Source organism: Homo sapiens, chromosome 1 (assembly GCF_000001405.40).
Source record: "Homo sapiens chromosome 1, GRCh38.p14 Primary Assembly".
NCBI classification, from domain to species: Eukaryota; Metazoa; Chordata; class Mammalia; order Primates; family Hominidae; genus Homo; species Homo sapiens.
The window spans coordinates 115,635,244-115,650,459 of record NC_000001.11 but is presented as its reverse complement, the minus strand read 5'-3'; the positions used below and the strand labels follow the sequence as shown (position 1 = coordinate 115,650,459).

Below are 15,216 nucleotides of genomic sequence, written 5' to 3'. Positions count from 1 at the left end.
CTGGGTCTTCTCCCACATTTTCATTAGATATTGCTTTGCAATAAAAATAAATTGGAAACATTTCCAAGTACATTCCTGAGCTCCCACATGCTAAAATTTTTACTTCTAGAAAACCGAGATCCACAAGTTCTGTCTCTTTCTGCACCCCTCACCCCAGAGCTAGTCTCAGCTCAACAGGGTTCCTTCTTCCAGCCGCTGGAAGCTGAAACTGCAAACACAGCCAGTGAGATAAGTGTGAAGAAAAAACAAAGGAGCTGTAAATGCCATACCCTAACCCTCCTGGGAGGAGGCCAAGTTTCCCTGACCCCAGCAACAACACATAAGTCTGGAGGGAATCAGGTCAGCACAAATTGCCATACACCACCAATACAGCCCCCACAGCCTCTAATCCCAGTTAGGGTGTATTTACCCTTACCATTCATTCTTCCTGGGAGTCAGGTACGATCACTTCCAAGGTCTGCCACCCAGGGCCAGCCTCCTTTGTCCCTGATGCCCTGACTTACCATTTCACTTCTCCTCTGCCATCAGGAGCCCAAGGCTAGCCCTGGGGAAACCTGAGTTCTAGTCTGAGCCCAGCCACTGTTTAGTACAACCTGGGATAAGCCACTTGCTTTCTTATGCCTCAGTTTCCTCATCTGTTAAACAGGGTAAACCAACCAGCCACCGACCTCACAGGTAGATCTGAAAATATAAGCAGACACAGTTTCCAAAGGTGGGTTCCAATCTCGGGTTTTACTCACTTATTAGCTATCAGGCCCCAGTCAAAATTAGTAAACCTCTTTGAACATGTAACTGTAAAATGCAAATATCAGGGTTGCCGTGAAGACCAAATGAGCTAACAACTATGAAGGCACCCAGCGCGAGCTCCAGATGTGCTAGGTAAACGAAAGTCACTGTCTATCAGCACTCTCTTTGCGGGTTCCGAAATGCTTGTTCCTCTGTCTTTTTAATGAGAGAAATGCTTGGAAAGAAGCAGAGCAGAGTCTCTGTGCCGGCCTTCCTGCCACAAGGCTCACCTGCAGTCAGACAGAACGGAGCACACATCTCAGTCCGCTGCCTACTAACTAGCTGTACACCTGGGCAAAGCAGTTTCTCCTTGGAGCCTCAGAGACTTCCCAATCCATAAAAAGGAAGCAAGGCAGCCTATTATGGTGGGGGTTTGTGGGGGGAGGTAGCTGTAAAGATTAAATGTGAAAACACAGCAGGCCTTTTTTAAATGCTAAGTTTTGCTCCTGGACTTACCCTACTTTCCTAGAAGACTTCAAGGGCTGAGTCATCTTTTTTTCTGCCTACTGTCTCCACCATTTTCACTAGCAATTTCAATCAGCTTTCAACACCTCAGTCTCACTTCCTTTCTGCCCTGGGCTTTGCTGTTTTCTCACCTGCTTCATAACAGGCAGACGTCAACATTAGGATGTGCTTCGAAGATCTCCAGCCCTGAGTGAACTGAGATCCTCCCTGAAAGCCCCTCACCCAGCCTCTGCTGATCTGCAGATTCAAATGTCCAGTTCCCTGGCCCAGAACACCGATTTCCCACTCTCTTCTAGATTCATAATTAACCCTTCACAACTCCTACACTCTGCCTTGCAACCCATAACTCTGGATTCCCCATTCCATCCCAACTTCCAGCTACTTTTTGCTAAATGCTGCTGGAGTGTCTCAGAGGCAGGTGGCCCAGGCCCCGCAGATGTGGGCAGATCCAGCTTGGTGCTTCCTAGCTGTGACATCAGGGGGCAAATGTTTGCCTCTCTGAGCTTATCCAACCCTGCCCCATAAAAATGAGGTCATTTAATACTCTCTCTTCCCAGGGTTCTTGTGAGGATTAAATGAAACTGCAAAGGTAAAGTCTCTGGCACATGGTAACCCAAGTTTTATTCCCTTCCCCCTCTGCCAGAGGACTTCATTCCTTGTCCTCATTGAAAACTTGTGGCCATTCATTAAGACAACTCCAGGCTTGTCCCTCAAAGGAAACCATGGGTCCCAACTGCCCTCCAGGGAAAGGCTTTATCTAACTCTACCAACCACCCTAGTCTGGTTTCCCTCCCATGGTTCCTTCCTGTACTTACCAAAGGAGTGGTCTATACATGCTGTCACTCCCTCCTTCTCCACTTTCAGTCCAAATCTCCATCCACAACACTCCACTGAAACAACTCAAAGTTGGCCAAGGATTGCTATGAGCCAAGTAACATCCTTGTCCTCCTCCCCCAGTGCTTTTTATTTCATTTATTAGTCCATCCACCTCCATATTAAGTGGCACCTACAAGACCATGCTAGGCAATGCTAGGGCACAGCAATGACAAAGGCATGCTGCCTGCCCTAGCAGAGTTTCTCTGCAGCTGGCTAGCCTCCAATTTGATGCCGCTTATGTTACTACTTCTCCTCTAACACTCCCTCTCCTCTCCCCTCATCACGTTATCCCTTGACATTCAAAACTCTTCTCAGTCTTCTCCATCCACAGATTTCCTATGGCAGAAGCTCCTTGAACACAGCAACTACGTCTTACCTCCACCCAGGATATTTTGAACATAGCAGGTACCCAACAAATACTTACTGAAAGACTAAATCCCAAGTGCACATTTCCTACTGAGATTCCTCTTGCTCCCCTTGGGAATACCATCATCCCTCTCATAGGTGCTCTCCAGTATCCTGTCCTGTTCTTCCCAATTCCTCAGCTAAAGCAATACCCTCATCCTAAGGATCTAACCCTGTGCCACCTTCAACACCCTCTCTGATCCTCCCTTCACTCTACTGATTCACAGCCACCCACTTCCTCCAGGCTCCACCTACACAGGGCTAGACCACTACAAAGCCTCCAGGTGTCCTCACCAGCCTATACACAGCTCAGGCCCCTTCTAAGTCATACCGTTTCTAATAGTTACCAACTCTTATCCTATCCAAGATCTGAGTGAGGACTAAGAGGATGCAATAAGAGGCAAACTAATAAAATCCGAAGTGAACTTATTTTAAAAGAGTCTGAGCCAAGGTAAGAACTTCAACAGACTTAATGGAAAAGGATATCCTGAAGCTTACCACTGCAATGATATATCTATGAGATAGTTCCCTTGCATACACAAGAAATTAACCAAACTCATGATAAGGTCAGAAGGAATCCCTTATCAGAAAAGACAATAAAGCAATGAAAAGGAATCAGGTTCCCAGGGTAATACACTGATAGGCTGTCACAGCAGCATGAATAGGACAGTCATATAAAGGTGGGAATATGGCTCCTAGAACCTGGAACTGTCTATCATACTGACCCCTGACATGACTCATATTGTGTTTGGCCCAGGCTGGGCAGCAGCCAGAGTGACCTTTTAAATTACAATGCAGACGTCACTTCCCTGTTTAAAACCTTTCCGTGGTGTCCCACTGCACTTTAAATAAAATACAAAAATCTTTCATTTGGTATGCAATGTCCTGCCCGACGCTCTAGCTCCCTCCTCCTTCTCTAGCCCCAGCTCCTTTAAGGTAGAGTCTTAGGGCTTTGGCAGAGCCCAGTATATCTGTTGGTACTCACCCTTTACATGCCCTGTTTTGCCAAATTCCTACTCATCACTCCTTAATTTAAATACTGCTCCTTTCAAGAGGCCTTTCCTGATCCTTCAATCTCAGTCAGGCTCTTCTCTAGTACCCTGTACTCTTCCTTTCTATCCAACTTCCAGTGATACATTTGTTTGTGTGATCACTTATTGTCTAGTTTCTTCACAGGCTGTAAGCTCCATGAGGGCAGAGGCACTTTCATGACTGCCTGTCTTTCCAGCTCCTAGGACATTATGGGTACCCTATAAATGTCTGCTGAATGAAGGGTTTTGTGGCAGATCTTAGGACATGAGGCCATAGATTCATTGTGGAAGAAACTTTAGAAATTATCTATTTTAAATCCTTAGTTTTAGAGGTGGCAAAAAAAAAGATGCAGATATTAGATAGAGGCGTGATACCAGAACTATCAAAAAAAAAAAAAAAAAAGCTATACTACTGGCTCGCATGGCAGTCCCACTCAGGGGCAGAGTTCGTATGCCAGACACACTGAGTAAAAATCAGCAGCAGCCTCTTTCAGCCACTGCCCAAGAGCATCTTGCCTCACCGGTCACCCACCCCTTAAGAGTGTATTGCTTGGCACTGCTTGGGTAGGGGCTGGAGGCAAATATTAGGACACGGCCAGGCTCATTGAACCACATTGCATGCAGGCAAGGTCAACAATGGGAGATAGGTGCACAGAGTGCTTCTAAGTGGCAGTGTCCTAAATTCTGGACTTCCTAGGCAAAAATGTCAGAAAGAACCTCCTTCACCACCCTTTATCAAAAGCAAAATGAAGATAATCAGCCTCAAACAGAATTCTCTCCTAAAGTCATGTTCACTCATATAAAAATCCTACTACTTAATATGAAAACACAGTGTTTAGCAAATCGTATGAAGGAAATAATATGTTATGATAATGACAGTGGTAAACATAAGCTAACCTTCGCAAAAAGGAAATTATAAAAACATCAACAGCTCTGCCTAGAGCTATTAAGTAATTAAGGGAGCTCTGGTTTGGAAAGTTACTTTGTAAGGGTTACAGAGACACGCACTGAATTTAAAGAGAGATTTTGCTTCCTATGCAGTAAGTAGATCTATTTCCAAGGAAAAGTGGTGTCTGGTACAACCATGCTTATATATGCTGTGTATATTATTCTGAATATTTGATTTTTACATAGAATTCTGCAGAGATTATGCTATTAATTATTATTTATATTATGTCTTGAAGCTAACATTCTTCTTAGGGGTACCCATTCTTAATTAAATGGCACTCAAGGGGAAAGTGACAATTGAAATAATTTTGTTTAGAGTCAACTATTCTTCTAGAGAGTAGCAATGAGCCCAAATTGTGGGTGAAGAGCATTCAAATCCTGGCTCTAGTACTTAGCTGTGTGACCTCAGAACAAGTTACTTAACTGCTCTCTGCCTCAGTTTCCCTAACTGTAACAACAGATTTTATTTTACTTATATTATAGATCTGTGGTAGGTATTAAATGAGATAATTCATAAAAATTATTAGAACAGTGCCTAGCACGTGGTAGGCACTCACAGCTGTCAACTACTACTAGTATTCACTAGAGTAAAATTCCTTCAGTTAGGAAGAACTGAAGGGGTTGTATGGCATATAACTTCTGTATCATTTTCACTGAACTTATACACATTTTTCTGGTCTCTGCTACCACCTTTAACTGCTACTATTAGCTATAGCTGAGTAACAAGTGATTTCTATTCTGTTTCTTACAGGCCTCTATTTACCATCCCCAGGTTGGAAGCAAATGTCAGAGAGACCAGAGGAAACCGTGTGTGTTTTAGTGGGTTTATTTGGAGGGGCATGGGCTGGAAAGGAGCGGGCAGAGATGCAGGGCAAATCTATAAAACATTTTGAACTTGTGGCCTATAAACCACCAAACATCATGCAGGTCACTGATGTGAGGATCTGCTGGGCTTATGGCATTTGTGACAAACCCAATGATTCTTTTATTACAACAGCTTATAAATGAATGATTCTGGGTCATTATTTACAAGGAAAGAAAATGTCAACTTTGTTTTACTTGTTTCGCCAATGATTTCAACTCACCTTGCCAGAATAACTTCTCTTGGCTCCAGTCATTAATTACCCCTGAAACACCTCCAGCAGCTGGGTACAGATTTCTGAAGAGGTGTGAATCGTTAACATGTCTGGAGTTATGTGATGTATATTTGCTTGCAAGTGACTCCCTTGTTCCCTGCCAGATATTTAAACTTCAGAAAAATAGATCTCATGAGTACTATCTCCTCTGTAAATCTGATGGTACAGAGTCTGATCACTGTTGTCCTGTAACTGGGATTCAGAAGGACACTGCTAGAGACAACAGCACACACATGTATCCTTGCATCAAACTTCAATACTGCTAACATCAAACCAATACTGCTAACACCAAACCAATATTGCTAACAGAAACATGGTCCAATCACAAGCCCACCTAATCTTTTCCATCTTAAGGAAAATAGAATAGCATGATGCCCAAATCACATGCCCTATACAGCGAGACCCTAACCAGCTAGCTGATTTTACAGAGATGATGGTAATAGTCTAACAGTTTCTAGTTGTCAAGTGTTTACTATGTGTTAGATGCTGTTTTAAGTCACTTACATGTAATATCTCACTTAATCCGCATAACAAGTGTTTAAGAAAAATAAGACATTAATATCATGTTAGTTAGGGAAACCAGACTGCCACAGGAGCCAGGGCTTAAACGTTGAGAGTCTAACTCCAGAACCTGTGTTCTTAGCTACAGAAAATTGACAGCACTGTAGCAATTACTAGAATTGTTTGTTTATATAGAGGAGTATAAGCAACAATCACAAATTGTCCCAAACCACATATAACCCCACTAAGAATTTTGCAATTTCAACTTCTACTCACAGGTTCAGTGTTCCAAGCATCGTGGGGCACTCAGGAGAAAAGAAATGGATCTAAAATAGTTCTAACTCCCAATGAGCTCACAGCCCCAATGTGGAGACCTCCAATTAAAACACAATGTGACAAGGGCCCATCCCACCAAAATAGCTGATAAGGCCTAGGGTAGCAAGCACAGTGTGTGTATATAAGTGTGTTAAGGGGATGATGAAGGGGAGGATGCCTTCTTCATTCAACACATTTATCCTTCAAACAAAGGGTGACATGGAATTGTTGCTTGGTAAAGAAACTTTAAATTTCCTTTATGGTTTTGTCCTGTTGCTTAATACATAAGACAATAAAAATGTACTGCTTGGCAAGCAGTCCTTACAAATATATCACTCTCAAAATTCTTCTCCCATTTTACTTACAAATTAAGTTGCAAGCAAGCCTCACTGCCAACATTGTTAATAGTGAAATTCCACACTGAGTGTTTTCACTAATTATACTGAGAGACATCAACGTTTGGGAATGTTTAATGCTCATGGATAGGTGAAGCGTGTTATTTCTTTGAACTGGAAAAAGAAACAGTTTCCTCCCACAAATCAAAGCCCCAACTATATCACATTGATTTAATTCAACCCTAAAAACTCTATAATTAGTGGTTACAGAAAATGGCTAATTACCTCTCCCTGTATTCAGACAATTTCTGCCATCTCACTTGCAGAGCCTGGGAGCTGTGTACTCAACCCACCCACTGACGGGAGAATGCTAATTAGCATTGTTGACTGGTGATACAAGTTATAATATTTTTCAGCAGCCCCGTAAAATTTATAAACATGTCAGTGAAAATGCCAGATTCTTTTACAGTTTGTTAGCTTTTGGACTAAGTGTCTAAGAATACATTCATTTCTAACCAAAGCCAGGTCAAGAGTTTTAACAAAATGCATGGGCCATCTACACAATCATCATCATAAGGCGCTCTAACACTTCCTAAGGAGAATCTAAGAGAGCTCACAACACCTTCGCAGCGTGGGCATTAGACCTGGTTTGGAGAAGTGAAAACTGAGCAACAGATTCCTCAGCTCCAAGTCTCATCTGCTCATCACACAGCAGCCAGGCCGCGGCTCCGCCCCACTGCTGCCGCCACCACGGACGCGTTTAAATTTTTATAAAGCTTCACACTTCTCTAGGCGCGATGCTTGGGGCAGTTCAAAGACTGCAGAAGGAAATGAGGTCCTGCCGGTGGCGAAGGCTGCCCCGGCGCGGTGAGATTTCCTCCAGCAGGGACACCTTGGGCAGAGACCCGCCAGGCGCCTCTGCTCCACCCCGGCGTTTTTGAAAGTAAACTCCTACCTGCCTGTTGCGCTCTCCGAGGCGCAACCGGACTCGCCCCCCAGGCCTCCAGGGCCGGCTCAATTTTTTGTGAGCGAGGTGTGCACACAGACCAGCTCTGTCCCGGTTCCTGGCGAAGGGCCAGGCGGCGCCCGGGTCGAGCCCCGCCAGGGGTGGGAACCCCGGTGCGCGCCCGGCTCCCGCCCTGCACGGCTGCTGCAGCCGCCCGGTGCCTCCAACGCTCGGCCACTCCCTGCCGGCCTGCCCGCCGCCCCGGCACGCGCACCGAAGGGGCGCACTCCAAAGGCCAGCCCGGGGAGAAAGGGACGTCCGAGGTGTGAGCAGGGAACCCCGGGACCCCAAGGAGTGGGGTGCGGCGGAGATCGCACGGCAGGGCCAGGAGGGGCGCAACGCATGGGGAGAAGAGTGGAGTCAGAGGAAGCACTACCCGGAGCGCTCCGGAGGAGGGGAGGGAGCCCCCGGCCCGAGGCGGGAGCCGGCCACCCGGGGTCGAAGTCCGGCGGGGCGAATGCGGGAGGAGGGCGCAGGGGCACGCGGGGTCCGAGGTGGGGGCGTCTCCCAGCCAACGGTCTGCCCCGGGGACCGCCGCCGCGCAGCGCTCGGCCTCTCGCGGGACTCACCTCCGCGCCGGCCGCCCGAGCTCCGCGGCCCGCGGTCTCGGCTCACAGCGGCCCCGGCTCTGCGGCCTGCGCTGGGCTCCTGGAGAGGCAGAGCCCCGCCGCCGCCGCCGCTGCACTGCTGCTTTCCGCTTCCTGTCCCGGCGCCGCCCCGCAGCCCGAGCCCAGCCCTGCGAGCCCGGCGCGGCCGCGAGCCAAGAACAGCTAGCGCTGCCGGCCCCGCCGCGGGGCCGGCCCACCTGCAGCGGAGGGCGGGGCTCGGCCGGCGTCCCCCTCACCTCGTCACCGCCCCGACCCCACACACCCGGGACACACACGAAGGCGTGCGCGGTCACACTCTTACACACGGACCAGGGAATGACACCTCCCACACTCATTCACCCTCATACACACACTCACCCTACACAGACGTGCACAGCCCAGTAACCCACTCTCTTCTGGGCAGACACACACACTATAAACACATGGCCCAGGGATTGATCTCCGACACCGCCCCCTCCCTCCCCCACATACTTGGAATCTCAAGCTCACACACACACACACACACACACAATCATGCACAAAATCCGAGCCCATTTGCCCTCACGAGTGCCCCCATCCACATATTCACACGGCTCAGGGACTAACCCCCCAACCCCACTCAACACACACTCATATACACACTTTCCAAGAACTGACCGACAAATATCCATATACACCATATCTCAACCCATATACACACACTTAAACTCACATGTAGCCCTGGAAATGACCCCACAAATAGACACACACACACACACACACACACACACACACACACCCCCTACAAGCCACCACAGCAAGCCTCTCCCCTCCTCCTCCCTTATCAGAGCAGGCACTGCCGCCAGCCTAGTCTCCTAGAAACTGCTAGATGAGCACATCTCTGCAGGCAGGTAGCTGAAGCTTCAGTGCTGATTCCAACCAGGTACTGTTTCCTTTCTGAGCCTTTGTTTACCTGTCTGAAAAGTGGTGAGGATGCTGCTGTCCACCTTGCAGGATTGTGGTGAGGATTACAAAACAGTTGGCAACGATTTTCATGAATATTTGCACTTTTCTTAGTTGTCTTGTGTTGGTAGCATTAGGGTTCCTTACTGATCATCTCCAATCTAGCTGGGACCCAAAGCTGCTTACGTGGCAGGATTTTCCAGTGGAAGCAGTGTATAATGAAGTGCTGAATTTCCTAAGAGTTGTCTACAGGAGTATTGCGGGCATTTGGGGTGGGGAAATGCAGGCCCACCCTGACTAGCCTTAATCAGGGAACCTTGGCTCCAAGAACCCCTCACTCCCTTGATCACCTCTTCCTCATCCCTTCTAGACTCCATTTTCTCTCGCATATGTCACATTTCCTTGAGAAGACACCCATATGTTCAATGTGGCTGATTTTCACCACTCCTAGTCCCCAGGCTCTGCTGCCCCACTCAGTGGCCTAGACCATCTTCCTCCCCCACCCCCAGCCTCCCAGTAGGCTCCAGAGAGCAGATGTTGCTGACTCAGGCAGCCAGGTTCCTATGGGTAAAGCCAATGGTCTATTCACCCAAATCAGCACTCAGGGTCAGAAATGTAGAACATTATAAAAACATGTCTCTCTCATCTCTAAAATGTAGAACTTTCAAAGTTCAAACAGGCCAGGGATTTCCAATTCTAGTCATGTACCTGAATAGCTCCAATTAACACAGAGATCTTCAATGAGTTTTCAGAAAGTAATTCTAATTCACTTAGGTTCTTATGTCTAGCCACCTTACCAGATGATGTTTTGTGGGAAAGAGGGGTAGTTGCAAATAACCTATTTTAAAATAATAAATTCACCTTTAAATGCCATGTAGAGGCCGGGCTTGGTGGCTGAAGCTTGTAATCCCAACACTTTGGGAGGCTGAGATGGGCAGATCACTTGGGGTCATGCGTTCAAGACCAGCCTGGCCAACATGGCGAAACCCCATCTCTACTAAAAATAAAAAAATTAGCCAGGCGTGGTGGCAGGCACCTGTAATCCCAGCTACTCAGGAGGCTGAGGCAGGAGAATTGCTTGAACCTAGGAGGCAGATGTTGCAGTGAGCTGATATCATGCCACTGCACTCCAGCCTGGGCAAAACGAGACTCCATCTCAATTAAAAAAAAAAAAAAAAAAACATGCCGGGGGACCTGGGCAAGATGGCTGAATAGGAACAGCTCCAGTATGCAGCTCCCAGCAAGATCAATGCAGAAGGCAGGTGATTTCTGCATTTCCGACTGAGGTACCCAGCTTATCTCATTGGGACTGGTTAGACAGTGGGTGCAGCCTACAGAGGGCGAGCTGAAGCAGGGTGGGGCGTCACCTCACCCAGGGAGCGCAAGGGATTGGGGAACTCCCTCCCCTAGCCAAGGGAAACCATGAGGGACTGTGCTGTGAGGAACAGTACATTCCAGCCCAGATACTATGCTTTTCCCATGGTCTTCACAAACAACAGACCAGGAAAGTCCCTTGGGTGCCTATGCCACCAGAGCCCTGGGTTTCAAGCACAAAACTGGGCGGCCATTTGGGCAGACACTGAGATACCTGCAGAAGGTTTCTTTCATACCTCAGTGGCTCCTGGAATGCCAGTGAGACGTAACTGCTCACTCCCCTGGAATGGGGGCTGAAGCCAGGAAGCCAAGTGGTCTAGCTCAGGGGATTCCACCCCCATGGAGCCCAACAAGCTAAGATCCACTGGCTTGAAATTCTTGCTGCCAGCACAGCAGTCTGAAGTCGACCTGGGATGCTGGAGCTTGTTGAGGGGAGGGGCATCCGCCATTACTGAGGCTTGAGTAGATGATTTTCCCCTGACAGTGTAAAGAAAGCCACTGGGAAGTTTGAACCGAGCAGAGCCCACTGCAGCTCCACAAAGCCACTGTAGCCAGACTTTCTCTCTAGATTCCTCCACTCTGGGCAGGGCATATCTCAGAGAAAGGCAGCAGATCCAGTCAGGGGCTTGTAGATAAAACTCCCATCTCCCTGGGATAGAGCACCTGGGGAAAGGGGCAGCTGTGGGTGCAGCTTCAGCAGACTTAAATGTTCTTGCCTGCCAGCTCCGAAGAGAACAGCAGATCTCCCAGCACAGCATTCGAGCTCTGCTAAGGGACAGAATGGTTCCTCAAGTGGGTCCCTGACCCCTGTGCCTCCTGACTGGGAGACACCTCCCAGCAGTGGTCGACAGACACTTCATACAGGAGAGCTCTGACTGGCATCCGGCAGGTGCCCCTCTGGGACAAAGCTTCCAGAGGAAGGAACAGGCTGTTCTTTGCTGTTCTGCAGCCTCTGCTGGTGATACGCGAGCAAACACGGTTTGGAGTGGACCGCCAGCAAAGTCCAAAAGACCTGAAGCAGAGGGGCCTGACTATTAAAAGGAAAACTAACGAACAGAAACGAATAGCATCAATATCAACAAAAAAGACGTCCACACAAAAACCTTATCCCAAGGTCACCAACATCAAAGACCAAAGGTAGATAAATCCACAAAGATGAGGAAAAACCAGCACAAAAAGGCTGAAAATTCCAAAAACCAGAGCACCTCTTCTCCTTCAAAGGATCACAATTCCTCACCATCAAGGGAACAAAACTGGAATGGAGAATGAGTCTGACAAACTGACAGAAGTAGGCTTCAGAAGGTGGGTAATAACAAACTCCTCCAAGCTAAAGGAGCATGTTCTAACCCAATAAGAGGAAGTTAAGAACCTTGAAAAAAGGTTATAGGAATTGCTAACTAGAATAACCAGTTTAGAGAAGAACATAAATGACCTGATGGAGCTGAAAAACACAGCATGAGAAATTCGTGAAGCATACACAAGTATCAATAGCTGAATCAATCAAGCGGAAGAAAGGATATCAGAGATTGAAGATCAACTTAATGAAATAAAGTGTGAAAACAAGATTAGAGAAAAAGAATGAAAGGGAATGAACAAAGCCTCCAAGAAATATGGGACTATGTGAAAAGACCAAACCTACGTTTGATTGTTGTACCTGAAAGTGACGGGGAGAATGGAACCAAGTTGGAAAACACTTTTCAGGATATTATCCAGGAGAACTTCCCCAACTTAGCAAGACAGGCCAACATTCAAATTCAGGAAATGCAGGGAACACCACAAAGATACTCCTCAAGAAGAGCAACCCCAAGACACATAATCATCAGATTCACCAAGGTTGGAATGAAGGAAAAAAATGTTAAGGGCAGCCAGAGAGAAAGGTTGGGTTACCCACAAAGGAAAGCCCATCAGACTGACAGTGGATCTCTCTGCAGAACTGCTACAAGCCAGAAGAGAGTGGATGCCAATATTCAACACACTTAAAGAAAAGAATTTTCAAACCAGAATTTCATATCCAGCCAAACTAAGCTTCGTAAGCTAAGGAGAAATAAAATCCTTTACAGACAAGCAAATGCTGAGCTATTTTGTCACCAACAGGCCTACCTTACAAGAGCTCCTGAAGGAACCACTAAATATGGAAAGGAAAAACCAGTACCCAGCCACTGCAAAAACATACCAAATTGTAAAGACCATTGACACTATGAAGAAACTGCATCAACTAATGGGCAAAATAGCCAGCTAGCATCATAATAACATGATCAAATTCACACAGAACAATATTAACCTTAAATGTAAATGGGCTAAATGCCCCAATTAAAAGACACAGACTGGCAAATTGGATAAAGAGTCAAGACCCATCGGTGTGCTGTATTCAGGAGACCAATCTCATGTGCAAAGACACACATAGGCTCAAAATAAAGGGATGGAGGAATATTTACCAAGCAAATGGAAAACAAAAAAAAGCAGAATTGCAATCCTAGTCTCTGATAAAACAGACTTTAAACCAACAAAGATCAAAAAAGACAAAGAAGGGTATTACATGATGATAAAGGGATCAATGCAACAAGAAGGGCTAACGATCTTAAATATATATGCACCCAATACAGGGGCACCCAGATTCATAAAGCAAGTTCTTAGAGACCTACAAAGAGAGTTAGACTCCCACACAAAAATAGTGGGAGACTTTAACACCCCACTGTCAATATTAGATAAATCAATGAGACAGAAAATTAACAAGGATATTCAGGACTTGAACTCAGCTTTGGACCAAGCAGACCTAATAGACATCTATAGAACTTTCCACCCCAAATCAACAGAATATACATTCTTCTCAGCACCACATCACACTTATTCTAAAATTGACCACATAATTGGAAGTAAAACACTCCTCAGCAAATGCAAAAGAATGGAAATCATAACAGTTTCTCAGACCACAGTACAATCAAATTAGAACTCAGGATTAAGAAACTCACTCAAAACTGCACAACTACATGGAAACTGAACAACCTGCTCCTGAATGACTACTGGGTAAATAATGAAATTAAGGCAGAAATAAATAAGTTATTTGAAACCAATGAGAACAAAGACAAAAGGTACCAGAATCTCTGGGACACAGCTAAAGCAGTGTTTAGAGGAAAATTTTTAGCACTAAATGCCCAAAGGAGAAAGCAGGAAAGATCTAAAATTGATACCCTAACATCACAGTTAAAGGAACTAAAGAAGCAAGCAAACAAATTCAAAAGCTAGCAGAAGGCAAGAAATAACTAAGATCAGAGCAGAACTGAAGGAGATAGAGACATGAAAAACCCTTCAAAAATCAATTAAACCAAGAGCTGTTTTTTTTTTGAAAAGATTAACAAAATAGATAGACTGCTAGCCAGACTAATAAGGAAGAAAATAGAGAAGAATCAACTAGACACAATAATAAATGATAAAGGGGATATCATCACTCATCCCACAGAAATACAAACTACCATCAGAGAATACTGTAAACACCTCTACACAAATAAACTAGAAAATCTAGAAGAAATGGGCAAATTCCTTGACACATACATGCTCCCAAGACTAAACCAGGAAGAATTTGAATCCCTGAATAGATCAATAACAAGTTCTGAAATTAAGGCAGTAATTAATAGCCTACCACCTAAAAAAAGCCTGGGACTGGACGTATTCACAGCCAAATTCTACCAGAGGTACAAAGAGGAGCTGGTACCATTCCTTCTGAAACTATTCCAAACAATAGAAAAAGAGGGACTCCTCCCTAACTCATTTTATGAGGCTGGCATCATCCTGATACCAAAACGTGGCAGAAACACAATAAAAAAAGAAAATTTCAGGCCAATATCCCTGATGAACAGCAATGCGAAAATCTTCAATAAATTACTGGCAAACCAAATCCAGCAGCACATGGAAAAGCTTATCCACCATGATCCAGTTGGCTTTATCCCTGGAATGCAAGGCTGGTTCAACATATGCAAATCAATAAACATAATCCATCACATAAACAGAACCAATGACAAAAACCACATGATTATCTCAATAGATGCAGAAAAGGCCTTTGATAAAATTCAACACCCCTTTATGCTAAAAACTCTCAATAAACTAGGTATTGATGGAACATATCTCAAAATAATAAGAGCTATTTATGACAAACCCACAGCCAATATCATACTGAATGGGCAAAAGCTGGAAGCATTCCCTTTGAAAACTGGCACAAGACAAGGATGTTCTCTCTCACTACTCCTATTCAACATAGTATTGGAAGTTCTGGCCAGGACAATTAGGCAAGAGAAAGAAATAAAGGGTATTCAAATAGGAAGAGAGGAAGTCAAATTGTCTCTGTTTGCAGATGACATGATTGTATATTTAGAAAACCCCATCATCTCAGCCCAAAATCTCCTTAAACTGATAAGCAACTTCAGCAAAGTCTCAGGATACAAAATCAATGTGCAAAAATCACAAGCATTCCTATACGCCAAAAACAGAAAAACCGAGAGCCAAACCATGAGTGAA

At 45.6% G+C, this 15,216-nt stretch overlaps 1 protein-coding gene across 3 annotated transcripts in view, besides 2 other annotated features; it reads right to left on the bottom strand.

Annotated features, from left to right (window-relative positions):
- The window catches only part of VANGL1 (VANGL planar cell polarity protein 1), a 56,252-nt gene extending 47,762 nt beyond the window's left edge, over nucleotides 1–8,490 (bottom strand). For 2 of the 3 annotated variants that reach the window (NM_138959.3, NM_001172411.2), the window contains exon 1: nucleotides 8,374–8,490. The gene's annotated coding sequence lies outside the window, so the exon portion shown is untranslated. Of the gene's footprint in view, nucleotides 1–7,753; nucleotides 7,832–8,373 lie in introns of those variants that run through there. The other variant, NM_001172412.2, reaches the window with a different exon arrangement.
- Nucleotides 7,769–8,758: a silencer, noted in NCBI's record as "silent region_1223". NCBI's record gives its function as "represses an Ori minimal core promoter by ATAC-STARR-seq in GM12878 lymphoblastoid cells {active_cell/tissue: GM12878}" and the evidence as "EXISTENCE:reporter gene assay evidence [ECO:0000049][PMID:35858748]".
- Nucleotides 7,875–8,633: an enhancer, noted in NCBI's record as "H3K27ac hESC enhancer chr1:116184448-116185206 (GRCh37/hg19 assembly coordinates)". NCBI's record gives its function as "activates a minimal SCP1, AML or CMV promoter by ChIP-STARR-seq in primed H9 embryonic stem cells {active_cell/tissue: H9 hESC(primed)}" and the evidence as "EXISTENCE:reporter gene assay evidence [ECO:0000049][PMID:30033119]".